This window comes from Homo sapiens, chromosome 14, assembly GCF_000001405.40.
Source record: "Homo sapiens chromosome 14, GRCh38.p14 Primary Assembly".
In the NCBI taxonomy this organism is placed as follows: domain Eukaryota; kingdom Metazoa; phylum Chordata; class Mammalia; order Primates; family Hominidae; genus Homo; species Homo sapiens.
The window spans coordinates 101,793,455-101,819,153 of record NC_000014.9 but is presented as its reverse complement, the minus strand read 5'-3'; the positions used below and the strand labels follow the sequence as shown (position 1 = coordinate 101,819,153).

General features: G+C 42.3%; 1 protein-coding gene, 1 long non-coding RNA gene and 1 pseudogene across 22 annotated transcripts in view, besides 3 other annotated features; 1 reads left to right on the top strand and 2 right to left on the bottom strand.

Annotated features, from left to right (window-relative positions):
• The window catches only part of PPP2R5C (protein phosphatase 2 regulatory subunit B'gamma), a 167,420-nt gene that overhangs the window by 108,839 nt on the left and 32,882 nt on the right, over positions 1–25,699 (bottom strand). For 7 of the 21 annotated variants that reach the window (XM_047431537.1, XM_011536920.2, XM_017021423.3 and 4 more), the window contains exon 1: positions 9,118–9,319. The exons of 9 other annotated variants lie outside the window; for them this stretch is intronic. Coding sequence is in view for 9 of the 12 variants with exons in the window: in XM_017021423.3 (XP_016876912.1) it covers positions 9,118–9,211 (94 nt within the window). In the remaining 3 variants the exon portion in view is untranslated. Of the gene's footprint in view, positions 1–68; positions 163–9,117; positions 9,320–18,145; positions 18,158–25,699 lie in introns of those variants that run through there. 5 more of the 21 variants (XM_047431530.1, XM_047431533.1, XM_047431534.1 and 2 more) reach the window with 3 other exon arrangements.
• On the top strand, positions 8,164–24,078 carry LOC124903388 (uncharacterized). Its single transcript, XR_007064349.1, has 2 exons — positions 8,164–8,937; positions 22,257–24,078. It is a non-coding gene; the product is annotated as an uncharacterized LOC124903388 (long non-coding RNA).
• Positions 8,536–9,118: an enhancer, noted in NCBI's record as "H3K27ac hESC enhancer chr14:102276373-102276955 (GRCh37/hg19 assembly coordinates)". NCBI's record gives its function as "activates a minimal SCP1, AML or CMV promoter by ChIP-STARR-seq in primed H9 embryonic stem cells {active_cell/tissue: H9 hESC(primed)}" and the evidence as "EXISTENCE:reporter gene assay evidence [ECO:0000049][PMID:30033119]".
• Positions 8,865–8,944: an enhancer, noted in NCBI's record as "active region_9047". NCBI's record gives its function as "activates an Ori minimal core promoter by ATAC-STARR-seq in GM12878 lymphoblastoid cells {active_cell/tissue: GM12878}" and the evidence as "EXISTENCE:reporter gene assay evidence [ECO:0000049][PMID:35858748]".
• Positions 10,868–11,162: an enhancer, noted in NCBI's record as "tiled region #9024; K562 Activating DNase unmatched - State 5:Enh". NCBI's record gives its function as "activates a minimal TATA promoter and a strong SV40 promoter by Sharpr-MPRA in K562 cells {active_cell/tissue: K562}" and the evidence as "EXISTENCE:reporter gene assay evidence [ECO:0000049][PMID:27701403]".
• Positions 15,823–15,927, bottom strand: RNU6-790P (RNA, U6 small nuclear 790, pseudogene; annotated as a pseudogene).

Genomic DNA, 25,699 nt, shown 5'->3' with positions numbered 1-25,699 from the left:
CTAATTATACATGTACAGAAACTGTCTACAAATGTAAACACACATATACAGACACCCTCACCACCCACCTCTTCCTTGAAGCCCACCAAAAATAAGAACCAGCAACTCAGGAAGAAGTGGAGGTGGTACTTTAGGGCTTGAGGGTTCTTCAGGACTTGTTCCCTAGAGTGAAACATAACTTTTTCATAAGTTATAAGTTAAAATACCATAATTAGAACACATTGCTCATGAGTAACACAACCAGCAGACAAAAATCCATGTGTATTATAACGAGGTCACATACATCGATGACAAACTGAAAAAACCTAATCACTGTTAACAGCTCAAATTCTACTGAAAACACCAAAATATCAACATTTAAAAACAATAAGATATAAGGTTATAGTTGGGACCCCACTTATTTCAAATATTATTTAATTAAAGCAACATCTGCATTTAAAAACAACTAAAGGGAAATGACACGGAAAGCCACCCTATTTGAGATTAACCACAGATATTGCTCACTTTTTTTTTTTTTTTTGAGACAGAGTCTCACTCTGCTGCCCAGGCTGGTGTGCAGTGGCGTGATCTCGGCTCACTGCAACCTCCGTCTCCAGGTTTAAGTGATTCTCCTGCCTCAACCTCCCTAGTAGCTGGGATTACAGGCACCCGCCACCACGCTGGCTAATTTTTGTATTTTTAGTAGAGATGGGGTTTCACCATGTTGGCCAGGCTGGTCTTGAACTCCTGACCTCAGGTGATCTGCCCACCTTGGCCTCCCAAAGTGCTGGTATTACAGGTGTGAGGCACTGCGCCTGTAATACCAACTTTTAAAGATGAAATTTCTTATGAATGTGATACTAAAACTCTCTTCTTCAAAAGAGTTAAAGATGAGGAGGGGAGATGTATATAAATGCCAATTTCTTATTTTACTCTAGACTTCACGGACTGGAGCACGGGAACAGAAAGACTGAATAGGGAGCATTAAGTATACTCTGAACTGAGGCCGTGGACATGTGCTTAGGACCATCTTAGCAGGTAACTATACACAATCTATAAGCAGAGCATAGTGCAAACTCCAGAGGTACTGATGATACTAATTTCTTCCAAATGGTGAAATGCCAAGCAAACTGCAAGAGATGAAAAGGCTGGGTAAAAGAGAGAGAGAGAGACAGATGAGCTTTGAGATGAACAAATACAGATAATACAGCTGGAGAAAAAGAAAACAGATTATGGCTAAGTGGCGGGGCCCTAGAGTACCATACGTGACCTACGAAAGAGACAACCACAGACACCATGAGCACTGAGTCTCACGACACTCCAGGCGCCATTTTAAGTTCTTTATGTGCATTCACTTAACTTTCAAAAAACCCCAAAGAGGTAGGTTGTATTATTATTCCCATTTCACGTTCCATTTCTAGAAACAGAGAGTGAGTCACATGCCCTAGACAGTTCAGCTTGCCTGGGGTGGGCGGGGTGGGGGATGGGGGGTGATCTGACCCTGGCGTGTGGCTCCAGGTCCTACCCTCAGCCACCAAACACCCTGCCTCTTAAAGTGCGGAGGAAACTTTGGTTTTATCTTATCTTCTAGTGTGGCTCAAAGGCAGTTACACTCCAAAAGACCAATAAAAATGCCAATAAACATCAAAAACGGTTATGCACCCCAAAAACGCTGTTTTGTCAGATGGTGTGGCCGTCTGTGCAGCTACTGTGAGTTACAACCAGAGGACCAACACTGGCTGGCAAAGACTCAAATATGAAAGGCCACTGCTCATGGCTTAGGAAACAGTAGCTAAGTTATTACATTTTCTTTGTACATTTTTTCCAAAGCAGACCCTTTTTAAAGATATTTCCTTCACCAGAGAATATTGAAATGATAAGAGAGCGAAACAGCCTTATTTTTTAAAAATATATTTCTCATCCTGGGGCAGTGGCTCACGCCTGTAATCCCAGCACTTTGGGAGGCCGAGGCGGGTGGAACACGAGGTCAGGAGATCGAGACAATCCTGGTCAACATGGTGAAACCCTATCTCTATTAAAATACAAAATATTAGCTGGTTGTGGCGGTGGGTGCCTGTAGTCCCAGCTACTTGAGAGGCTGAGGCAGTGGAATTGCTTGAACCCAGGAGGCGGAGGCTGCAGTGAGCTGAGATTGCTCCACTGCACTCCAGCCTGGCAACAGAGCAAGACTCCATCTCAAAAAAAAAAAATATATATACATATATAATATTTTTATATTATATATATTATATAAATATATATATTATATATATATTTATATAATATATATATAATATATATATAAATAAATATATATATTTATTTCTCTCAAACATTATGAAAAAGTTAAAATCTCCATAGAATTTCAATGAATAATTGTATATTGTATATCCCCTCAGCTAGATTCAACAACTGTTCATGCTTTGACATATTTGCTTTTTACCCACTTTTCTCTTTACCATTTAAAGTTGCAGAGATCACGATCCTTCACTTATTAATACTTCATTCTGCATTCCCTAAGAATAAGAAAAGTCCCTTACAAAAGTTGGACACCTTTTTACACCTAGAAAGTTCGCAGTAATTCCACACATCCAACATCATTCTGCACTCCACTTTCTCCAGCTGCCTTCAAAATGTCTCTAATAGGTTTGATTTCACACTTTTTAGAACAAGGATCTGATCTAGATTCACTCACGGTACCTGTTATATCTCTTTAGTCTTTTTTCTTTTTTAAACTAGAAGAGTTTTTGATTTATGTGTAATTCAAGGGCCTCAAATAAAGCCAGACTTCTACCTGCTGTGGGAGTACTGGTTTCCCCCATGCATTTTAGCCAGCGTCTTTCCAAGATGTGAGTGAGAGAAATGATTTATCCCACGTTTAGACCACTTGGCGGTCCTATTTCCAGTGTGACAGGGAGCGGAAACAGCGCCTGAGCAAGGCCTAGAGTGGAGTGGGCACCTGTGTCGCTCTTTCAACCAGCCGCCTTGTGTAAAGTCTGTCACCTTTTTGGTAGTCTTACTCTTGCACTTGGGTATAACGTCTGCTCAGCAGGTTTTTGCCTTGCAGCAAAAGCCATCTCCTATATGTTTTTCATTGAAATACGTTAACTACAGCGTATAGAGGATTGAAAGAAAAATAAAGTACAGCTTCTCATGAGCTTCTCATTCCACTGATGAGGTATTTAGCTAAGAAATACATCAGATAGGCCGGGTGTGGTGGCTCATGCCTACAATCCCAGTACTTTGGGAGGCCAAGGCGGGCGGATCACTTGAGGTCAGGAGTTCGAGAGCAGCCTGGCCATCACGGTGAAACCCTGTCTATACTAAAAATACAAAAAATAGCCGGGCGTGGTGGCATGCACCTGTAATCCCAGCTACTCGGGAGGCTGACGCAGGAGAATCGCTTGAACCTGGGAGGCAGAGGTTGCAGTGAGCCGAGATCACGCCACTGCACCCCAGCCTGGGTGACAAAGCGAGACTCCAACTCAAAAAAGAAATATAGTAGATAGCTATTTCCTGAGTGATCACTCAGAGATAACTTTTAATTTTTAATCCACTGACACTAACTGATGCCTCTACTCTAGGAATAATGCTCAGTGTCACCAGAGAACAAGTTCAACAGGACTGTCCTCGGGATACTCCTGATTTTGTGGAGGAGGTAAGTCAACAGTTACTAGCTGGCAGATTTGGTAAGTGAACTGGGACAGCAGGTAAGATTATCAACTTTCTCCCTGCACACCAAGAACATACGCATGTAAACCTTTAACAAACTCCTATTCAACCCTGAAATGAGTTTTGAACTCCAGACACTCAAATCCATTACCACTGTACAGAAAACAGTAAAAATCAAAAAGTACCTATGAGGTGGGAGCTTTCACCAGCATCTCTCAACACTCTGATGTCTGCAGAGCAAAGAACATGAGCTTTGCTATCAGACTGACTGAGGCTCAAATCTTGTTTCACTACATTCTCTGTGGCCCTGGGCAAGAGGCTCCCTTTTTTCTCCCGGGGGGACAAAAAAGGCAGGGGCGGTAGTGAGTGGGGGAGGGTTATAATGCCTCACAGTGTTGGGCAGATTCAGAGAGAGAACAGAGGTACAGGGTTTCAGCTGTGACCTAGCACACTGAAGGCACTCAACGTATGCTGCTTCTCCTCTGGGACAGCCACCAGCAGCAGCTTCGGGACCTCGTACTTGGTGCTGCCAACAGCCCTGGACTGGACCCTCTAGGCTGGGTGACCTTGGGGAGGAGAAATACTAGGATTGTCCTGCTCACCTGCCAGGCAGGAGTGCTGTGAGGAAGAAGTACATGAGTGTTCACAACAGCTTGTCACAATTGGCAAAGTGCTGTAGGATCCAAAAAGAACCACCTCGCAATTTTATTTGACATATGGAACCAAAAGTTAGGATGTATCCCAAACCACTTTGTCTTTGTGTTTCTGTCTATTCTTTTCCTGGGTTTAAAAACACACACCCTATTCTTGACTAATAACCTTACCTCTATTTTTCTTTCATTCCTCTACACAACATACTTTAATGAGAAAATTTTAGAAGATAGCTTTTGCTGCAAGGCAAAACCTCCTGAGCAGACATTAGACCCAAGCTGGATGGTAAGCTTTTGTTTTTGCCTCTGAGATTGAGAGCGTATGGATGAGGGAGGTGGATGAGAGTGTGTTTATGAGCATAAATGTGTGTGTGTTTAAGGAACAAAAAGGTGTACAGACTTTACACAAACATACCCACCCCTGTTTCCTCAGAGAGTTATCTGTTACTTTGGTTACCTTCCACACCACCAGGAATACGAAAGAAACAACTTCACACCTAGGATACAGGATTGGATACAGGATAGGATATGGGTAAGGTTAAGGCTGTAGTTCTATAAAGTCACTTTGCAGAGAGCTGCAGTTACATAGTAAAGAGATGTTTGTGAAGTAAAAATCTTGAGCTGAGGCACTGTTCAGAGGATCACTGGTTTAATTATTTGAAGAACTGTTTAGTCATCATTCAAACATTTTTCCTTCCTAATTTTAGGGAATAAAGATAACAGGGGGCACCCATTCTCACTAGTACTTACTGACTTCACACCATGCAGGTGTGTTACTAATTTAGCAACCCATGTGCATTATGTATAGCTATTGTTATTATTAATATAGGTTAAGTCACCAGATTTAGCGCAGCAGGAAATGAAAGCCATGGGTTTGAGTTCTGTGCTTGCTTCTTGCATGTTTTTTAATGAGTTTTTATTGGAAAGGTGAAGACCTTCAACAAATTGGTGACTCAGGAAGTACTTGTGAGAAAATAAACTTTTCCATTAGACTTCCACTTCCCAAGAAAAAATGGGTTTACATCAAAAGAATGGTTTGTTCTCCAACATCCCACCAGGCTGGAGCTACTCCTGAGTCTTTCAAGGACAGACTCATCCACTGGATAAGTTTGCTAATGACTAGAACAAGATGAGAGCAGTTAATAACATTCTTGAAGCCCAGAATAAGGGCCAGCTGGAAAAGGCTCAAACTGTGTGCTTCCTCTCTGGCCATTACCATCTTTCCGGCTTGGCTGTCACTGCCTTAAACCTGGCTCCTGAAGTGAGCATGCGCTGCAGGGTGGGAAGTGGGCCCACCCACCACGCCTCACAGCATCACGGCTGGCCCAGCTTCCCAGCACAGGGAGGAGGCACTAGACTGAAGGCCTGCAGGAAACATGCTTTCCTATCCTTAACAGGCAATTCCGAAAGTCAAAGAACAGTCTAGAACAGAGTTGGTGAACTATGGTCCATGGGCCAAATCCAGCCTGTCACCTGTTTGTCAATAAAGCTTTATTGGACCACAGTTATGCCTATTCATTTACTGTCTATGGCTGCTTTCACCCACAAAGCCAAAGCTACTTACAATCTGGTCCTTTTCCAAAAAAGTCGAACAATTCCAGTCTACGACTGTGCTGTCCAATATCCTAGCCACAAGACAGGTGTGTCCACTTAAATTTACAATAACTACAGTTAAAAATTCACTTTCTCAGCTGTATATGTTAAGTGCTCAGCAGTCGCAGGTGACCAGGGGCTGCTGCAGAGGACAGCACAGAACATTTCCACCACAGCAGACAGTTCTCCTGGACACAGCTGAGAGTGAGGATTTATGTCACCAAGCTACATTCACAGCCATCAAGTTCCAGGTGACTCTCCTTCTACAGACAGAAGGGCTTACACTAACTCTCAAAAATATGTCCCTTTCACACTCAAACTTATTAGGATGTGCAAATTCACCATTTTAATCGCAAAGTCCAGACTACTTGGTAGACAATAATGGTCAAAGCGATCGTGACAACAAATCAGGTGATCATTTTCCTTACTTACTTACTTGGTCCCCACCCTGATGGATGGTAAACTGGGAAAGCTGGGCCATAGCCCCTGCTCATATCCACATTAGAACCCTGCCTGGCATGTGGTATGGATCAATAAATATTTGTAAAATGATTAATAAATGAGCCCAAGGTACAAAACTGTTATACAAAAAGAGGCTACCGAGCCAAATAAATGGTAAGGCATTGGGGAAAATACCACTACTGTAATCCTGTAGCAAAATGTTCTTCAAGCAGCCAACATTCCTATTTTAAAATGATTTTTTTAAAAAGATCCAAAACAAAACAACACAACAGTCTGGGTTTGGATTCTGGCTCCACCACTTCCAGGCTGTGTGACCTTGGGTAAGTTATTTCTCCTTCAGTGGGAAAGACCCCTCCTTCCTAAATAAACGGGAAGGACAGCGCATGCCCACCCCATCCGAGTGAGCAGGGTAGCCCAGGGTGCAGCCCTCCTTGGTTCCTTCTGCTCCTGACACCAGCCCCTGCTCTCCCGGGCACCCTGCCGGTGTGTTCTTGCTTTAGCCCTCTCGTGGCAGAGCTCCTATGCTGGGTCTCTCCATTCGCTCCTTTGGGACAGGGGCTGCAACTTAATCACTGTAATGACGCTCAGCACTTGGCACACCGGAGCTGCTCAATGGATGTTAAGCTAAGACTCTAAGGCCCAATAAATAAATCAAATTTTGCTAAATCTCACATTAACATGCTCGCTCCAGAAAAGTCTTTATGAGTAAATCAAGCGTTCTTCAAATTTTGAAGTTAGAAATTACCCCCACTGTTTGAGTCAGAAGTTAGTCTTAGGTCTCCAAAGTTATCCCTTCTTAAAAACTCAAGTCTCTTTCAGGCTAATACACTTCACTGCTTTTTCCCTCCACAATTATACAGCAAGCAACCAACCACCCAACCAACAGCAACAAATACAAACTGGCCATAATAAGGTCTTGGAATTTTAAAAAAAAAATCAATGTGGTTCAAGACACAACGTGAAATGATTCTATTTCAGAATAAGTTCATAATTCAAAAACTGAGTAGTATATTAGGCATCTAATAAAAACCAGAAAACACAAACCAAAAAGATTTATGTTATTTATAAGTGGATACCTTAAAAGTATAAAAATTTACATTTTATATGCAGTTAATTTATCTTACTGCTAACTAGTTCGTTTTTAAGAACTAACTTGGCCAGGTACAGTGGCTCTTACCTGTAATCTTAGCACTTTGGGAGGCGGAGGTGGGAGGATCGCTTGAGCCCAGGAGTTCAAGACCAACCAGGGCAACATGGCAAAACCCCATCTCTACAAAAAATATTAAAAAATTAGCTGGGCATGGTGGTGCGTGCCTGAAGTCTCAGCTACTCAAGAAACTGAGGTGGGAGAATCACCTGAGCTCGGGAGGTGGAGGCTGCAGTGAGCTGTGATCATACCACTGTACTCCAGCCTGGGTGACAAGAGTGAGACCCTGTCTCCCAAAAAACAAACAAAAGCTATCTAACTTAAATCCAAACAATTACATTTTGTTCTTGCCCATTTGGTTCTTGCAGCTAAAATACCTGAATGTTACCTGTAGGCAACCTTTGCTTTTTACTGGGTGCACTACAAAAACAATAAATTCACAGCCTGTCCTACAATTTGGTCATTGAATGCTGATTTCCACCTTCATGAAAGATAGTTTGGAGAGAAAAGCACCACCCATTTTATTCCAGTAGATTGAGTCTGCATGTGCCTGGGTACACCCTAGGATCTGAAAAGTCTGGCCTGGCGTTTTAGTCATAGAGATTATTAGTCACCTAGAAATCTTGCTCCCACCCTTCCTTAAAAGAGATTCTGAGAAACAGTTTTGTTGGGGCACAGCTCTGATACTATAAATTCTAAAGTGATCTGATGAAGCTTAAAATCATTTTTCTATTTCACCCAATTATGACCAAAAAAAAATTCATATATCTTAAAATACCAAGAATAAGTAGGCTACTACCCTGATGCCTGTAGTTCAATATAACCGCTATTAATTACTAGAGTAGTTGTGCTTTTAGGCTAAGTTTTGAAACCAAAATATGCATAAAAAGAAGCAAACTAATTATTAAAACAGTGATCTCTATATACCTTGAAAACTTGTTGCCATTTAAAATTTTAAAAGCCAACTGGCAACACAGAGCCTATTTAAATGCAAAATATTTCCTAATATTCCACGAAAACGCTAACATTTCAAAAATGATGACCCACGATAGATTTCAATATTTCAAAGTGGAGCATATTTCTCTCTCAGGCTCCACGGCAAGAATGAAAACAATCCTTTTAAAGGAAGTTCTTTTCCAATCAATTGTGCATATTTTCTGACTGCAATTCATCTTTAATTCTGAGATGTGTCCTCGACAAAACCTTTGCAGCATTAAGCCACACATATGTAACAGAAACTCTGCGTACGAACAACTTGGCCAGGCGCGACAGGCCCGCCTCTCCTTCCTACCCCCACCCAATACCTTCCCTGGGCAGTGACTTCACATCCTTTGACATCAGCACAGCTTTGAAAGGGGGATGGGAGAGCGAGCAGAAAGCAGAAAAACCAGCTTTGAACTATGCATGCAAGGCCTCTTTCAAGCCTCAAATTCTGTAAGTAGTTCGTAAAATGCCAAACTGCAGTGACACACCCAACCTCCTCTGGTTAAGTCTGCAGCGAAATGGGGTGAATTCTGCTAGAAAGGACTTCCTGCTTTTCTTATCTGAAGCACAATAGCCATTTATTAACTACCCACGGAAGGTTCCGATTCAGTGAAACACACAATAACTTACCTCGAATATGGAGAAGGACCACGGGCTGGAAAGGCCCATTGGAGTTGGCCGCATCCACCACCATCCTGCTGCCCGCTTTATTACATGTCAACATCTAGACTTCAGCGGGAAAGGCAATGGGCTCCTTAAGGCAAGAAACCAGCCTCCATTTTAGTTTAAAAAAAAAAAGACAAACTGAAGCTCTCTGCAGCTGGAGGGAACTGGCTGGTTCGTGATGTCAGCAGGCATGAAGCTCGCTGATTGGCCGGAAGCTGCAACTTAAAATGACACTAAAAAAACTGCAAACGGAAAGAGCGTTCTGTTTGGCTGTCAGTGTGCCTTAAAAGCTGGGATATTTTCCGGCTTTTTGCAGCCTTCGTTTCTCAGTAACTTTTAGGCAAAGATCCCATCTCTTAGGGGGAATACTGGAGGCCACAACCTTGGCCAGACTGTAAACAAATGATTTCGAGGGAGCCACCAAAAAAAAAAAAAAAAAAAAAAAAAAGTGTGTGTATATGTCTGTGTGAACTTTAGCATTTCCCAGTGAGGGATCCCAAATTCATTTTATACCCACCTGTGCAACTTCGACTTGCTAGTTCTAATTAATATCTGCATCTTAGGTAGGATTCTGGCAACCCAGTGTTTTTTTTTTGTTTTTTTTTTTTAACAAATGGTTAAGCAAATATTACACAATTCTAATCCATTAGTTTGGACTCTTATTCAACTTCCCTTACCAATAGGATGAGTTATTAACTTATGATCCCAAACACTTTTTTTCTTGAGATCTATTTTTTCCCTGAAAAAATTAAGCTTAAAAACTTACGTAGAAAATGAAAGCCGCTTTATAAATTCGATAGCTAGAAAGTGACACAAATTGAAATATTTATATCACCTGGCCGTGGGAGTAAGAAAGCAAAAAAATGAAATGGAGCATGTTTATTTTTGTATTGCAAATATGCTGACATATTAAATACCTTTTAAGTTTTAGATATTTTGTTTAAATTTAAAATTAAAGATATTTTCACTTATTTTTATGGGGCTATTAAAAGCTGCTATTCAGATCTAAATTTTCTATCTTCAAATACAGTTAATGTAAAAAGCTATTCCAAGGAGAAAAACATTATTTCTGAATTGGATGGAGTATTGCAGGATCCCATGAGGGGGTGCGGTGAGATGATTCCCTACAAAAATGAGTGTTATTAGTAGTTCCAAATGAAAACGAACTATAAGAAAAGCCTCTTCGGCAGGTGGAACTGAAAAAAATTCCTCCTTTCTTCACACCAACAAGGAAGTTTGTCCAAACCATGGCTCCTCATTTTTAATAGTTTCTCACACAATTCCCCTGCTCTCTTCCCCCCACTTGTGAAGGATACAAAAGCCCTTTAGTTCCTAAACATAATTCACAGTAGAGTAAGAAACACCTGAAATACAGCTAGGGCTCGCAGTTCCAGCTGAGGGTTTAGCGCCAGATACATTCAATGAGTAAGGGAACTGCTACCGCCCTTCAGGGCTGCTAATCAAGTCCTCCCTCACAAGAATGTAGCTTTTATTGTGTGTATCAATAGCAACTAAAATAAATAGATAAAAGCAAACCAAATCCCACCCTTCCCCCTCTTTCCCCAGAGCTGACAGACAGTGCTGGATTCCATGGCCGGCCAGGAGATGATGTGATTTCTAACACAAGTGGGCAGTGGGCACGCACCACCTGAGCAGGCTGCCGGCCTCACACCTGCTCTGACTTTGCTGCTATCTGAACAGCAGAATTAATTTTTTTTTTAAAGAGCACGTGCTTTCAGTTGGGTAAGAGGAATTTAGATCTTAGCTGCCCTCCTGCCTCTAAGCCTTCACTGCTGACCTGTGGGTTGTCTGTCTGGAGGGGATGGCCACCGATCACCAACGACCACTAGGAAGCAGTGTTGATGACTCTCACTGCCCCACACCCCAGCCTCCTCCTCCTCCTCCTCCTCTGAGTGATGCCAGATGAACTCAGACACAATTAGGAACGAGGCGTTCAGGGGCTCAGGAAGGAGCCCAGGAGCAGATGCTTATTGAAGATCTGGGCTTTAAGGAGACAGAGACCTGCCCTCCAATGATTTAATATTTCATACGAGATAAGATGAAAAAATGTGCCTATCCTACAACTGTGCTGATGAGTGGGAATACAGAAATAAGGGGGAAAGGCTCCTAAGAGCTTTATATATAATATACGGAATAGGAGTCAAAGAAACAGTGAAGACACTTTTTGATGTATTTTTCCTAATGATCTCAGATCAAAGGATCTTGCCTTTATTAGTGATTTACCCCACACTCTTTTGAAACCCTATGCATGTAAGTAGTTCTTTAAAGAACCCAAGGCTGATCTGGCCATCATTGATAAAACAGACTCTAAGATAGAAATAAATAAACAAATAATATGAGGGAAGAAAAGAAGACTTGAATAAAGGTAAGGTGTACTTCTGAATTGGAAATATAAAAATATAAATACTGCAGCTATGCTGATAATTTCCCCCCAAACTGATCTACAGGTTTAAAGTATTTCCAATTAAAATTCAGGTGGGCCTCTATTTTTCCAGGTACTTAGCAAAAGTATTCTAAAGTTCACCTGCAAAAAATAAAAGAACAAGAAGAATGAGAACACTACTAATGAGAAAGGCAAGTCCTACCAACTATAAAGCTGTATGAATTAATGACAGTGTGATGGGGCAAAAAAGGCAGATTAATGGAACAGAAGCCACAGCCCCAAACTGAGAAATATGTTGACATAAATGTAATATAATAAAGAGTATATCTCAAATCAGTGGAAGGGGAAGAATTAGATAATTGCTTGGCAATCTTGGGGCAGACAACTGATTAACTATATGCAGAAAAAAGTCAATTTAAGTCTTAACATCATACCAGAATAAAATTTGACGTGGCTTAAACAGTTAAATAAAAATCAATCAAAACCACCCCCCCAAATCCCTATAACTTTTAGAAGAAAGGGAAAGTGAATAATCAATTCTCAAGCAAAAAAATAACATGTAAATACCTCTGAACAAACCCCTCAGGAATAGCGCTCATATTAAAAATGACAAATTTCTGTGGTTTGTTTTTTTGGAGGCAGGGTCCTGCTCTGTCACCCAGGCTGGAGGGAAGTGGTATGATCTCTGCTCACTGCAGCCTCGGCCTCCTGGGCCCAAGTGATCCTCCTGCCTCAGCCTCCTGCAGAGCTGGGACCGCAGGCTTGAATCACCACAACTGCTCATTTTTTTCATTTTCAGTAGAGATGAGGTCTCTACTATGTTGCCCAGAATAGTCTTTTAACTCCTGGGCTCAAGTGATCCTCCAGCCTCAGCCTCCCAAAGTGCTGAGATTGCAGGCATGAGCCACCATGCCCGATCTTAAAATCACAAATTTCTGTATGTTCTCTCCAAAAGCAAGCAAAAGGAAATATAAATGCTATAAATACAAGGAGTTAATAATATTATAATTGATTAAAAAACAATTGTCTAAAAATTGTGCCACTATTTACAATAGCAAAGACTTGGAACCAACCCAAATGCCCATCAATGACAGAATGGATAAAGAAAATGTGGCACATATGTACCATGGAATACTATGCAGCCATAAAAAAGAATGAGTTCATGTCTTTTGTAGGGACATGGATGAAACTGGAAGCCATCATTCTCAGCAAAGTAACACAGGAACAGAAAACCAAACACTAAATGATTTCACTGAGAAGTGGGAGGTGAATAATGAGAACACATGGACACAGGGAGGGGAACATCACACACCAGGACCTGTCGGGGGGTGGGGGACAGGGGGTGGGAGAGCATTTGGACAAATATCTAATGCATGCAGGGCTTAAAACCTAGATGACGGGTTGATAGGTGCAGCAAACCACCATGACACATGTATACCTATGCAACAAACCTGCACGTTCTACACATGTATCCCAGAACTTAAGGTAAAATAAAAACAAAAAAATAAAAATAAAAATTGTGCTAAAATATACATCAACACAAAATGTACCATCTTAACTGTTTTCAGCATACAGTTCTGTGGCATTAAGCACATTCACAGTGTCTTGCAACCCTCACCACCATCCATCCACCGAACTCTTCACCTTGCAAAACTGACACTCTGTCCCCATTAAACAGTAACTTTCCATTCTCCCTCCTTCCAGTGCTGGCAACCATCACTCTACTTTCAGTCTCTATGAACTTGTCTACTCTGGGTACTTCACATAAGGAGATCTTACAGCGTTTGTCCTTTTGGGACTGGCTTATTTCACTCAGCATAATGTCCGCAAGATTCATCCATGTTGTAGCAAGTGCCAAAATTTCCTACCTTCAAAGGGCTGAATGATATTCCATTGGCATACACTGAAGTTGTTTATTCACTCTTCCCTGTTTACGGACATTTGGGTTGCTTCCACCTTTTGTCACTTGTGAATAATGTTGCCATGAACATGGGGCTACAAGTATCTGCTCATGCCTCTGTTTTCAATTCTTTTGGGTGTATATCCAACAAGTGAAATTGCTGGATCATATGGCAGTTCTATTTTTATTTTTTTCCCATTCTATTATTTTTAATTGATGCATAATAGCGATACACAGTTTCAAGGTATATGTGTAATATTTGGAAGAACTGCCATACTGTTTTCCACAGTGGCTGCACCATTTCACATTCCCACTGACAGTGCACAGGGCCGGGTGTGGTGGCTCACACCTGTAATCCCAGCGCTTTCTTTGGGAGGCTGAGGCAGGCAGATCACTTGAGGTCAAGAGTTTGAGACCAGCCTGGCCAACATGGCGAAACCCCATCTTTACTGAAAATACAAAAATTAGCTGGGCCTGGTGGTGCGTGCCTGTAGGCCCAGCTACTCAGGAGGCCGAGGCAGGCTGCAGTGAGCCAAGATCACATCACTGCACTCCAGCCTGGGTGACAGGGCGAGACTCCATCTCAAACAAACAGACCCTAAAAAACAAAAAACAGTGCACAACAATAGTTCCAATTTCTCCACGAGGACATTAACACTTATTTTTTAAAACTTATTTTTAATTTTTATGGGTACATAGTAGGTATATATATTTAAGAGACACAAGAGATGTCTTGATACAGGCATCCAATGTGAAATAAGCTCATCATGGAGAATGGGAATGGGGTATTCATCCCCTCAAGCGTTTATCCTTTGAGTTACAAACAATCCAATTACATTCTTAGTGTTATTTTAAAATGTACAATTAAGTTATTGTTGACTATAGTCACCCTGTTGTGCTATCAAGTGGGTCTTATTTATTCTAACTTTTTTTGTACCCATTGACCATCCCCCCCGCCAACCCCCACTACTACCCTTCCCAGTCTCTGGTAACCATTCTTCTACTCTCTATGTCCATGAGTTCAATTGTTTTGATTTTTAGATCCCATGAATATGTGAGAACATGTGATGTTTGTCTTTCTGTGCTTGGCTTATTTCACTTAACATAAAGATCTCCAGTTCCATCCATGTTGCTGCAGATGACTGGATCTTTCTTTTTCATGGCTGAATAGTACTCTATTGTGTATATATATATATTTTTTATTCATTCATCTGTTGATGGACACTTAGGTTGCTTCCAAACCTTAGCTATTGTCAACAATGCTGCAACAAACATAGGAGTGCAGATATCTCTTTGATATACTCATTTTCTTTCTTTGTGGTATGTACCCAGCAGTGGGACTGCTGAATATATGGTAGCTCAATTTTTAGTTTTTTAAGCAACATCCAAACTGTTCTTTATAGTGGTTGTACTAATTTACATTCCTAACAACAGTGTACGAGGGTTCCCTTTTCCCCACATCCTCTCCAGCATTAGTTATTGCTTGTCTTTTGGATAAGCCATTTTAACTGGTATGAGATGGTATCTCATTGTAGTTTTGATTTGCATTTCTCTAATGATCAATGATGTTGAGCACCTTTTCATAGGCCTGTTTGCCATTTGTCTGTCTTCTGAGAAATGTCTACTCAAATCTTTTGCCCATCTTGTGATCGGATTATTAGTTTTTTTTCCTATAGAGTTGTTTGAGCTCCTTATATATTCTGGTTATTAATCCCTTGTCAGATGAGTAGTTTGCAAGTATTTTCTCCCATTCTGTGGGTCGTCTCTTCACTTTATTGATTGTATCCTTTGCTGTGCAGAAGCTTTTTAGCCTGATGTGATCCCATTTGTCCCTGTTTGCTTTAGTTGCCTGTGCTTGTGGGGTATTGCTCAAGGAATTTTTGCCAAGACCAATGTCCTGCAGATTTTCCCCATTGTTTTCTTGTAGTAGTGTCACAGTCTGAGGTCTTAGATTTTTTTTTTTTTTTGAGATGGAGTCTTGCTCTGCTGTCCAGGCTGGAGTGCAAGTGCAGTGGTGCGATGTCTGCTCGCTGCAACCTCCACCTCCCGGGTTCAAGTGATTCTGCTGCCTCAGCCTCCCAAGTTGCTGGGACTACAGGTGCCCGCCACCACGCCCGGCTGATTTTTTGTATTTTTAGTAGGGACAGGGTTTCACCGTGTTAGCCAGGATGGTCTCAATCGCCTGACCTCGTGATCCACCTGCCTTGGCCTCCCAAAGTGCTGGGATTACAGATGTGAGCCACTGCGCCCGGCCAAGGTCTTAGATTTCTTTAATCCACTTTGATTTGATTTTTGTATATAGTGAGAAAGAGAGGTCTAGTTCCATTCTGCATATGAATATCCAGTTTTCCCAACGCCATTTATTAAAAATATGCAACTGCTTCACGAATTTGCATGTCATCCTTGCGCAGGGGCTGTGCTAATCTCTGTATCATTCCAATTTTAGTTTATGTGCTGCTGAAGCGAGCACTATTTTTATTGTTAGAGACAGGGAGGGTCTTGCTCTGTCACCCAGGCTGGAGTGTAGTGGCATGATCTTGGCTCACTGCAGCCTTGACCCTCTGGGCTCAAGCAATCCTCTCACCTCAGCCTCCCGAGTAGCTGGGACCACAGGCACATGCAACCAGCTAGTTTTTGTATTTTTAGTAGAGATGGAGTTTCACCACGTTGTCCGGGCTGGTCTCAAACTCTTGAGCTCAAGTGATCTGCCTGCCTTTGCTCCTTTTTTTTTTTTTTTTTTTTTTTAAATAGTAGCCATCCTAGTGGGTGTGAAGTATCTCACTGTAATTTTGATTTTCATTTTCCTAATGACAGAGATGTTGAGGATCTTTTCATGCATTTATTGGTCATTTGCAGATATTATATTCTTTGGAGAAACGTCTATTTAAGTATTTCACACATTTAAAAAATCAAGCTGTTTTGCTCAGTTGTAGGAGTTCTTTAGATATTCTGGATATTAACTCCTTATCAGTTATATGATTTTTCAAATATCTCCTCCCATTCTGTGGCCTGCCTTTTCTTGTTGACTGGGCCCTTTAATGCAGAGATGTTTTAAATTTTTATGTAGTCCAATCTATCTATTTTTATTTTTGTCGCCTGAGCTTTTGGTATCATAGCCAAGAAATCACTGTCAAATCCAATGTCATGAAATCTTTCTCCTATGTTTTCTCCTCAAACATTATAGTTTTACTCTTAGGTTTAGGTGTTTGATCCATTTTGAGCTAATCTTTGTATGTGTTATGAAGGTAAGGGTCCCACTTCATTCTTTATTTTTATTTTTATTTTTGAGACAGAGTCTCGCTCTGTCACAAGGCTGGTGTGCAGTGGCGCGATCTTGGCTCACTGCAATCTCCGCCTCCTGGGTTCAAGCGATTCTCCTGCCTCAGCCTCCCGAGTGGCTGGTACTACAGGTGTGTGCCAACACACCCAGCTAATTTTGTATTTTTAATACAGACGGGGTTTCACCATGTTGGTCAGGATGGTCTCGATCTCCTGACCTTGTGATCCGCCCGTCTCAGCCTCCCAAAGTGCTGGGATTCCAGGCGTGAGCCACCGCGCCCGGCCAGGTCCCGCTTCATTCTTTTGCATGTGAGTACCCAGTTTTCCCAACACCATTTGTTGAAAAGACTGTGTTTTCCCCATTGAATGGTCTAGGAAACCTTGTCAAAACTCGTTTGACCACCTATGTGAGGGTTTGTTTCTGGGCTCATCTTTATGCCAGTACTACACAGTCTTGATTACTGTAGCTTTGCTGTAAGTTTTAAAGTCAGGATGTGTGAGTCCTCCAACTTTGGTGTTCTTTTTCAAGATTGTTTTGGCTATGCTTATCTCTTTGATATTCCCTATGAATCTTAGGATGAAACTTTTCTATTTCTGGAAAAGAATGCTGTAAAAGTTTTAATAGGGATTGCACTGAATTTGTAGATTGCTTTGGGCAGTACTGACATCTTAACAACATTAAGTCTTCCAAACCATAAACGAGAGATGTTTTTCCATTGATTGGTGTATTCTTCCATTTCTTTCAGCAACATTTCATAGTTTGCAGTGTGCAAGTCTTTTCTCTCCTTGATAACTTCATTTCTAACTATCTTACTCTTTTTGAGGGCATCATGTTTTATTTATGGTTCTAAAATACTGGAAACTACTTTAATGCCAAAGGGATTATCCCACATACCTAGTGAAATATTACATATCCATCAGAAATACTTATAAATGTATAAAATGAAAATATAAGTGAAAGAGGCAGTGTGTAATCAGAAATAAAATGATCATAGGAAGAATCACTCCCCAAATATCCACAGTGTCATCATTGGGTGGTATGGGTATGAGTTTTTCTTTTTTAAAATTGATATATAATAGTTGTGCATATTTGGAGGGGACATGTGATATTTTGATGCCTGTTAACAATGTGTAATGACCAGGTCAGAGTAACTGGGATACCTATCACCTCCAGCATGTATCTTTTCTTTGTGTTGGAAACATTACAATTCTTCTCTTCCAGCTACTTTGAAATATATAATAAATTATTGTTAACTACAATTCCCCTACTGTACTCTTGAATTCTAGAACTTATTCCTTCTGACTGTATTTTTGCAGCCCTTAACCACCCTCTCTCCCTATCTTCCCTTCCCAGCCTCTGGTAACCACCATTCTCCTCTCTACCTCCATGAGATCCATTATTTTTTTACCTCCCACATGAGTAAGATCACATGGTATTTGTCTCTCTGTGCCTGGCTTATTTCACGTAACACAATCACCTCTGGTTCCATCCATGTTGCTGCAAATGACAGGTTTCTATTCTTTCTTATGGCTGAATAATATTCCATTGTCTATATGTCCTACATTTTGTTTAGTCATTCATCCACTGATTGACACTTAGGTTGATTTCATTTCTTGGCTATTGTGAGCGATGCTGCAACAAACATGGCAGTGCAGGTGCCCCTGTGATATACTGATTTTCTTTCTTTTGGATATATACCCAGCAGTAAGGCTGTAGGATCATATGGATGTTTTTTATTTCTAAAATTTCCCTTTTTTTTTTTTTTGGTATTGCTAAAACAAGCATACATTACTTTCAGAGTAATTAAAAGTGACAATTTTATTTTATATATATTTTTAATTTTTATTTTATTTTGAGTTAGAGTCTTGCTCTGTTGCCCAGGCTGGAGTGCAATGGCACCATCTTGGCTCACTGCAACCTCTGCCTCCTGGGTTCAAGCAATTCTTGTGCTTCAGCCTCCTGAGTAGCTGAGATTACAGGCATGCACCATCACGCCTGGCTAATTTTTTGAACTTTTAGTAGACACGGGGTTTCGCCTTGTTGCCCAGGCTGGTCTCAAACTCCTGAGCTCAGGTGATCCGCCTGCCTCGGCCTCCCGAAGTTCTAGGATTACAGGCATGACCCACCGTGCCTGGCCTAAAGTAACGATTTAAAAAAATACGTACATTTTTTGAGACAGGGTCTCACTCTACCACCCTGGAACCTAGTGGCACGATCACAGCTCACTGAAACCTCAGCATCCTGAGCTCAAGTGATCCCCCCACCTCAGCCTCCCAAGTATCTGGGACTACAGGTGTGCACCAGCATGCCTGGCTAATTTTTAAATTTTTTGTAGGGACAAGGTTGTCCAGGCTGGTCTCAAACTCCTAGGCTCAAGGGATCCACCCGTCTTGGTCTCCCAAATTACTGGGATTATAGGCGTGAGCCACTGCACCTGGCATAAAAATAATTTTTAAAAAGAGATATAGATTAAGTCACTGCAGGGAGAATCCCTTAATGAATACTGTCTCTTAGGCACAGGCTAGGAACAAAGAAAGGGCTGTGATGAGAACCAAGAAAGTCTGAACCAAGGAAATCTGGATAAATGAGATCAGGTACATAAAAAACACAAACAAAAATTAGCTGAAATGAGGCATGGAAAATGGAACCAACACAGATTAGAGGAGGTTGACTCCCTGTCTCAAATCAATTTTGAACCGCCTGGACCTTCTCCTGTAAGCCTGTCACCTTTGCATTGAGTCTGTAGGCTCACTGAAGCTATCAGAGTTCAACTGGGTCTCCAGAGTACTTTCCTCACTGATGAAACAAACTCTAAGTAAATGCAACCCAGAAGAGGCTCATAATGCAACCATGTCACTCGCACTGGGCCAGGTTTTCATCACCTGCTCAGGGAGGGGCTAGACAGAGCTGTCGCTCAGCATGGGGAGCGAGGCTGCCTTCAATAAATCCCCGCTGGTCCTTTCCTCACCCGTAAAAGGGCATATATGTCATCTCCCTATCCCCTCACGTTTAGAGAAGCCAGCGTCAGATATGGAGTGCGCTCCCCATGCTGAGTTGAGGTGGACAGCTTGGGAGGGACTGAGGCAGGACACAACTAAATACAGCTCCGGCCATCAGAGCAAAATGCAGGAAGCAGTGGGCATTGTCCCACTGGAAAAACATGGGCCATCTGCCAACAGAAAGATCCCTTCAGCTGCGGCGTGGGGATGCAGCAGAGCCACCTGAGGAATCTCGGCTTAGACCACCCTCATCCAGGCAGGCTTCCTCTTCCCTCCCGGTCTGTGGCTTGGACCACAAGCTCTTCCTTGGTCCAGCTCCTACAGAATGGCTGGCATGCAGGTGTTCCATCAAATGTACTGAATGAATGAATCAAGCAGTTGCACCCAATTCTGATCTTACAAAACCACCTTGCTACCCTTTACACCTCTTCCAGGTAGCACATAATTAAGAGGGATATGCTGTCAAATCATCTCAAGAACAGCATTTCCCTCTCCCCTGAACACAGACCCCATTCCAGGTCCCCCATGATGCACTTGCTAAGGAGTGGATGCCTTCCACTCACCTCCTGTGACATGCCTACCTGCCTTCTACGCTGGCCTCGCAGTGACATTCTGAACCTTTCCTGAGACTGCAGCTGCCTGTGAAGGGCTTGAGCAAGGACCAAGGAAGGGCGCTTTGCTGGGCCCAGCCCACCTAGCATACCTTCCACAGCCCAATGGGCCAAAAAGGCCACAGTGCTCAATATGGTCTCCCATCAAATGCTATAACTACAATAATCTATGTACTAGACAATAATGAAGAAACAATTATTTCATATTTTTTTGGAGACAAGGTCTCCCTATTTTGCCCAGGCTGGGCTTGAACTCATGATTCTCCCCGTCCTCAGCCTAGTGGGTAGCTGAGAAGTCAGGTGCACACCACTGTGCCTGGCTTGAAAAGGAATTATTCTTTATTCTTTGATCCCTCTGTCACTGTTTTATTCTTTACTTAAAAACAAACTACCTGTAAATACATCCTACTGATTTTATTTCTAGGTAGTATTTCTGATTAAAACTTTCAAATTTTCATTTCTACATCATTCAGCTGAAGGTTTTATTTTTTAAGGCTCTCCAAGCAATTTTGTAGGCAAATTAAATATGCTTCTATTTTAGTGAAGACATTTTATTGTAATTAACAGAAGGCTGGTGTTCTGAACCTAGAGAACAGTGGCATCATGTGCACAGTGCACTCACACTGCGCTGGCCAGCACTTTTTTTTTTTTTTAAACTGGAAACTATATGAGCACGGATGATGTATGCTTTGTTGGGTAAGAATCTGACCTAAAAAAATTGGCTTCACTTCACAGTTTAAAATAGACTTTTTCCTTAGACAGATCAAAGATACCTAACATTCAGCTATGTTCAAAGGCTGCCAGGGAACTTCTGCTTGCCAACAGCAAGGACACAGGGACAGGCACTTGTTGCTGTGTGAGCGAGGCCTGGGAGTGATTAAAGAGGATGGACGAGCTTGTCCACAGGGAAGCTCAGCGTAGGTGAGTGGAGTAGATGAAGTGAAATCCACCCAGAGTGCTGGGGCTGTGTGTGAGACCTTGGTTACTTTCATACTTCCTACAGCTAGTCTGGAAAACCTTTCAATCCAAAGCAAGTACTCACACTCCTTCCTTGTTCTAAGAACGTAGGGAACCAACGCGAAGTAAAAGTATGCATACATCGGAGTGCTTTCATGCTGATTGTTTTTTTTTTTAACTTGCCAACTTGCCGACACCCTTTTAGGAGCCTACGCAGTAGGTCAAGTGAGTCAGGAGCCTCATTTTCCAAGAGGAAATCCGAGGTGGAGGGAGGTGAAGGGATAGGTGGCCCTGGCTGGGGTTTTGGCCACCCCACGAGAGGTGACACCACAACCATCTCGGTGAAAATGGAGAGGGTGGAGAAAGAGGGCAGAGGGGCCAGGAGGGCTTTTCATTCCTTCAGGAGACACACTGTGTGTTTCCTGGGTCCTTGGCAGATGCTCGAATGGATGACACAGGCAGACAAGCACGCAACTGTTAACTCGTGTACTGACTGAATGTGTGTGGCGTGCTCTGCAACCCACGCGTCCATCCACTGATTGGGGGATACGCGGAATGTGTCCGTCCACACATCACTGAAGGATGGCATCAGCCTTCGACGGGAGCGAGGGTCTGGCACGTGCTACAATGTGGGGGGACCTGGAAGATATTATGTTTAGGGAAATAAGCCAGGCACAGAAAGACAGATACTGTACGATTCCGCTTCTAAGAGGCTCCTACTGTGGGCAAAATCATAGAGACAGAAAGCAGAATGGGGAGACAGCCACTTACTGTTTAATGGAGTTTTTGTTGGGGATGATGAAAAGTTTTGGGTAGAGATAGTAGTGATGGGTGTACAGCATTTTGAATGTATCTAATACCACCGAGTTGTACACTTATGAATGGTTAAAATAATAAATATTATGTTTTAACATGTGTATTTCACCTCAGTTTTTAAATTTTTTTTTTTTAGATAAGGACGGCTTGAGCCAGGGCAGTTCAGGAAACACTTGAGGAGCAGAGGCAGCAGGGCGCTGGACCAGACAGAGGACGGGAATGTCCAAGAAGTGGTCTCTGTGTGCGGTAATGAGCCGAGATTACAGCTGGCAGCTGGAAACTAAACCCCATGGGTGCCACCCAGAGAGAGCTGAGACTGACCATGGAGTAACGGCCAAGGTCATGTGTGTAGCCCCGGGCCATGGAGAGGGGGTACCCTGGAGGGGCTGGGCTGGCTGGCTGGGCTCAGGCTGTCTGACAGGCAACGGGCTCCCCAGTGTTCTGAAGAGGGAGTGGCCCTGGTGGTAACTCTCTGTGGCTTAGAGGGGCTGAAGCTAGAACACCGCTGTGACTCCGGGCCCGCTGGTTCCCTGAGGGCAAGGGCCACCTTGGGTCATCGCTCTGAACACCTTCCCCTTGCTCTGAGAAGCACAGATGGCCAGTGTGAACTGCCTCAGCAATCCAGGGACTGTGTCCTCTCATTAAGATATCATGGCAAATCACGAGAAGACACAAAAATCAAAACATGCAAGAGAAGAAAAGACTAATGAAAGCAGAGATTCCCTGCGCGGCTCTTTCTAAGCTGACTAGAAGAGCAGCAGGCACTCCGATAACTTCCGCACAGTCCATTTTTATTATTCTTCAACTAACAGGCAAGAAGCCAAAGTTCCTGTAAATATATGCATAATTCATTTGTAGGCAGTTAAACCTCTACTTTTATGGTAAAGCTTTCAATTGTATCAGAAAATAGGCAGGGCGCAGTGGCTCTCATGGCTGTAATCCTAGCACTTTGGGAGGCGGAGGTGGGTGGATCACTTGAGCCCAGGAGTTCGAGACCAGCCTGGGCAACATGGTGGAACCCCGTCTCTACTAAAAATACAAAAATTAGCTGTGCGTGGTGGTGCGCACCTGTGGTCCCAGCTACTTGGAAGGCTGAGCTGGGAGGACTGCTTGAGCCTGGGAGGTCCAGGCTGCAGTGAGCTGACATTGTGCCACTGCACTCCAGCCTGGGTGACAGAGCGAAACCGTGTCTCAAAAAAGAAAATAAACTGCTTTGAATGAGGGTGAAGTATTGTATTTGCATGAGAGGAGAGCAAGAGATATAAAATATTTAACTGGTATTCAAAAGCCAATTTTAAACAATTCAAGTAAATTCTAACAATAATGTAATGACTTCTTTCACAAAAGACCAAATACTCGGCAACTCTTTTGCCCCAGGGTCTCTAGTTAGTTAGCCGATAATAAGTCCTACATTATTCTGCTATAACTTTGACTTCTCCTAGTCTTTTCTTTTCTAAAAATGGCCTCAAAAAACAAGTCCATGATTAATTTACTCTTCCTATAAGTATCTTAAAAAAAAAAGGTCTCTTTATTTAACACTTCCACCTTCCAGTCCAAAAATGTTAAATGAAGGCATTAATTCAGAATAATCTTACAATGAACAGGTCTGAGGGCTATATTCAACCTCACTGGTTAAAAAAAAATAAAAATATGAAATACCTTTTTCTACTTATCAAATAACTACAACTTTTACATGATCTCAGCATTGGAGAGGTATGATGGACAGGCATCTCACATACTCTGTATGTGGTGCTACTCTCTGGAAAGTGTGTAGACAATATCTATTAAGGGTTTTTGAAAATGCCTGCTCTTTGATCCAGTACCTCCTTCATCAAGCTTAAGGAAAGGTTCAAAGATGTGAACAACAACGATAACAAAAGATTAACAGAACAGTATCATTTATAATAGCTGAAAAACTGGGGTATCCACAGAATGAAATAATAAACGGTTGCTAAAAATCATGCCTCTCGTTCCCACTAATGTCAGAAACAAGACAAGTATGCCCACTCTCACCACCACTATGTAACATTTTACTGAAATTGTTTTACTGAATTTATTAGTCAACTGGAGAGAAAGACATGTGAGTTTACAATTATAAACAGAGGTGAAATTATGTGCAGATGCTCTAATTAATACCTGAATATTCAAAAGAATCAACTGAAAAACTGATGCAAACAATCAGGTAATTCAGTAAGGAAGCAGGTTATGAAAGCAAGGCCCCCAAATTCAATAGCCTTCATATAAACAACTAATAACTAGAAGACACAATGGAAGAAAAGACTCTATTTACAAGAGCGATGATAATGATTATCTAGGCATTAGCTTAGTAAGAGACATGCAAAACCTACAAGGGAAACTTAAAAACAGCCTTAAAGGACATGAAAGTGGCCTTGGAAAATAGTCATAGCATACTCTTAGAGGAGGCACACATCACAAGATGCCAGCCCTCCCTCAGATATTTGCAAAATGTAACAGGATCCCAATAAAAATGCCAACAGTAGCCAGGCATGGTGGTGCGTGCCTGTAATCCCAGCTACTTGGGAGGCTGAGGCAGGAGAATCATTTAAGCCCAGGAGTTCAAGACCAGCTTGGGCAACATCGCATGGAACTGTCTCTAAAATAAATAAATAAATAAAGTCAACAGCTGTTTCTTTCTGCAATGACTATGGGTCAATTCAAAGTTCCAACTGTTTGCAGTAATATCAATATTGTTTTTGGGAACTGTTTAAGAGAATATACCCATAATTACATTAGTGATGCTAGAAATCAACATTTTCAGTGTAAGACAGAGATAAAACTATGAAAGCCAAGAAATAAGTGAAAGTGATAGGAACAGGAAGCAGGGAAGTTCTGGGCAGAAGAGGGCACGTCCCTTGTGAGGGCCCTAGCCTCAAGCCGAAAAGCCTGGAACCTTGGTCCAAAGTGAGAACATGCATTCCTGTTTCCCCACTCGAATGTTGCCTTTTCCAAAACCACCCATGGCTTGCCCCGTGCCTCCATCCTGTGCCCATAAAAACCCCAGGCTCAGCTGGTAGAGAGAAGAGAAGCAACTGGACATAGGAGACTAGAGTTGGATGTTGGAAAGAAGTGGCTTGACTTCAGAGGGACAACTTGATGGCGTAACTTCAGAGAAGAATCTGGCTGGAGACAGCCAGACTTCAGGGGAAGATTACCTTCCCACTCTGTCTCCTTTTTAGCTTCCCTTCCCACTGAGAGCCACTTTCATTGGCAATAAAATCCCCTGCATTTACCATCTTCAATTCCTTCATGCAACCTCATTCCTCCTGGATGCTGGACAACAACTTGGGTGCCATGAGTATGGGTGTAAAAGGTTGTCCCACTGACCCTCCACTGAGCTGTTAACACTTAAGTCATCCATGGATGGCAGAGCTAAAAGAGTACTGCAACACTTTCTCTGGGGCTTCAGGGATCACAGGGACCCCTGAAGACGCTGCCATGGGGCTGGTATGGGGTTTGCTCCTGCTGGTGCCCAAAAGTGCTCCTGCACCAGCTCACCTGCACTTCCCCTCCCACGAGGGGTGGAGCAGCGAGTAAGTGGAGATCGCCCTTGCTGGCGCT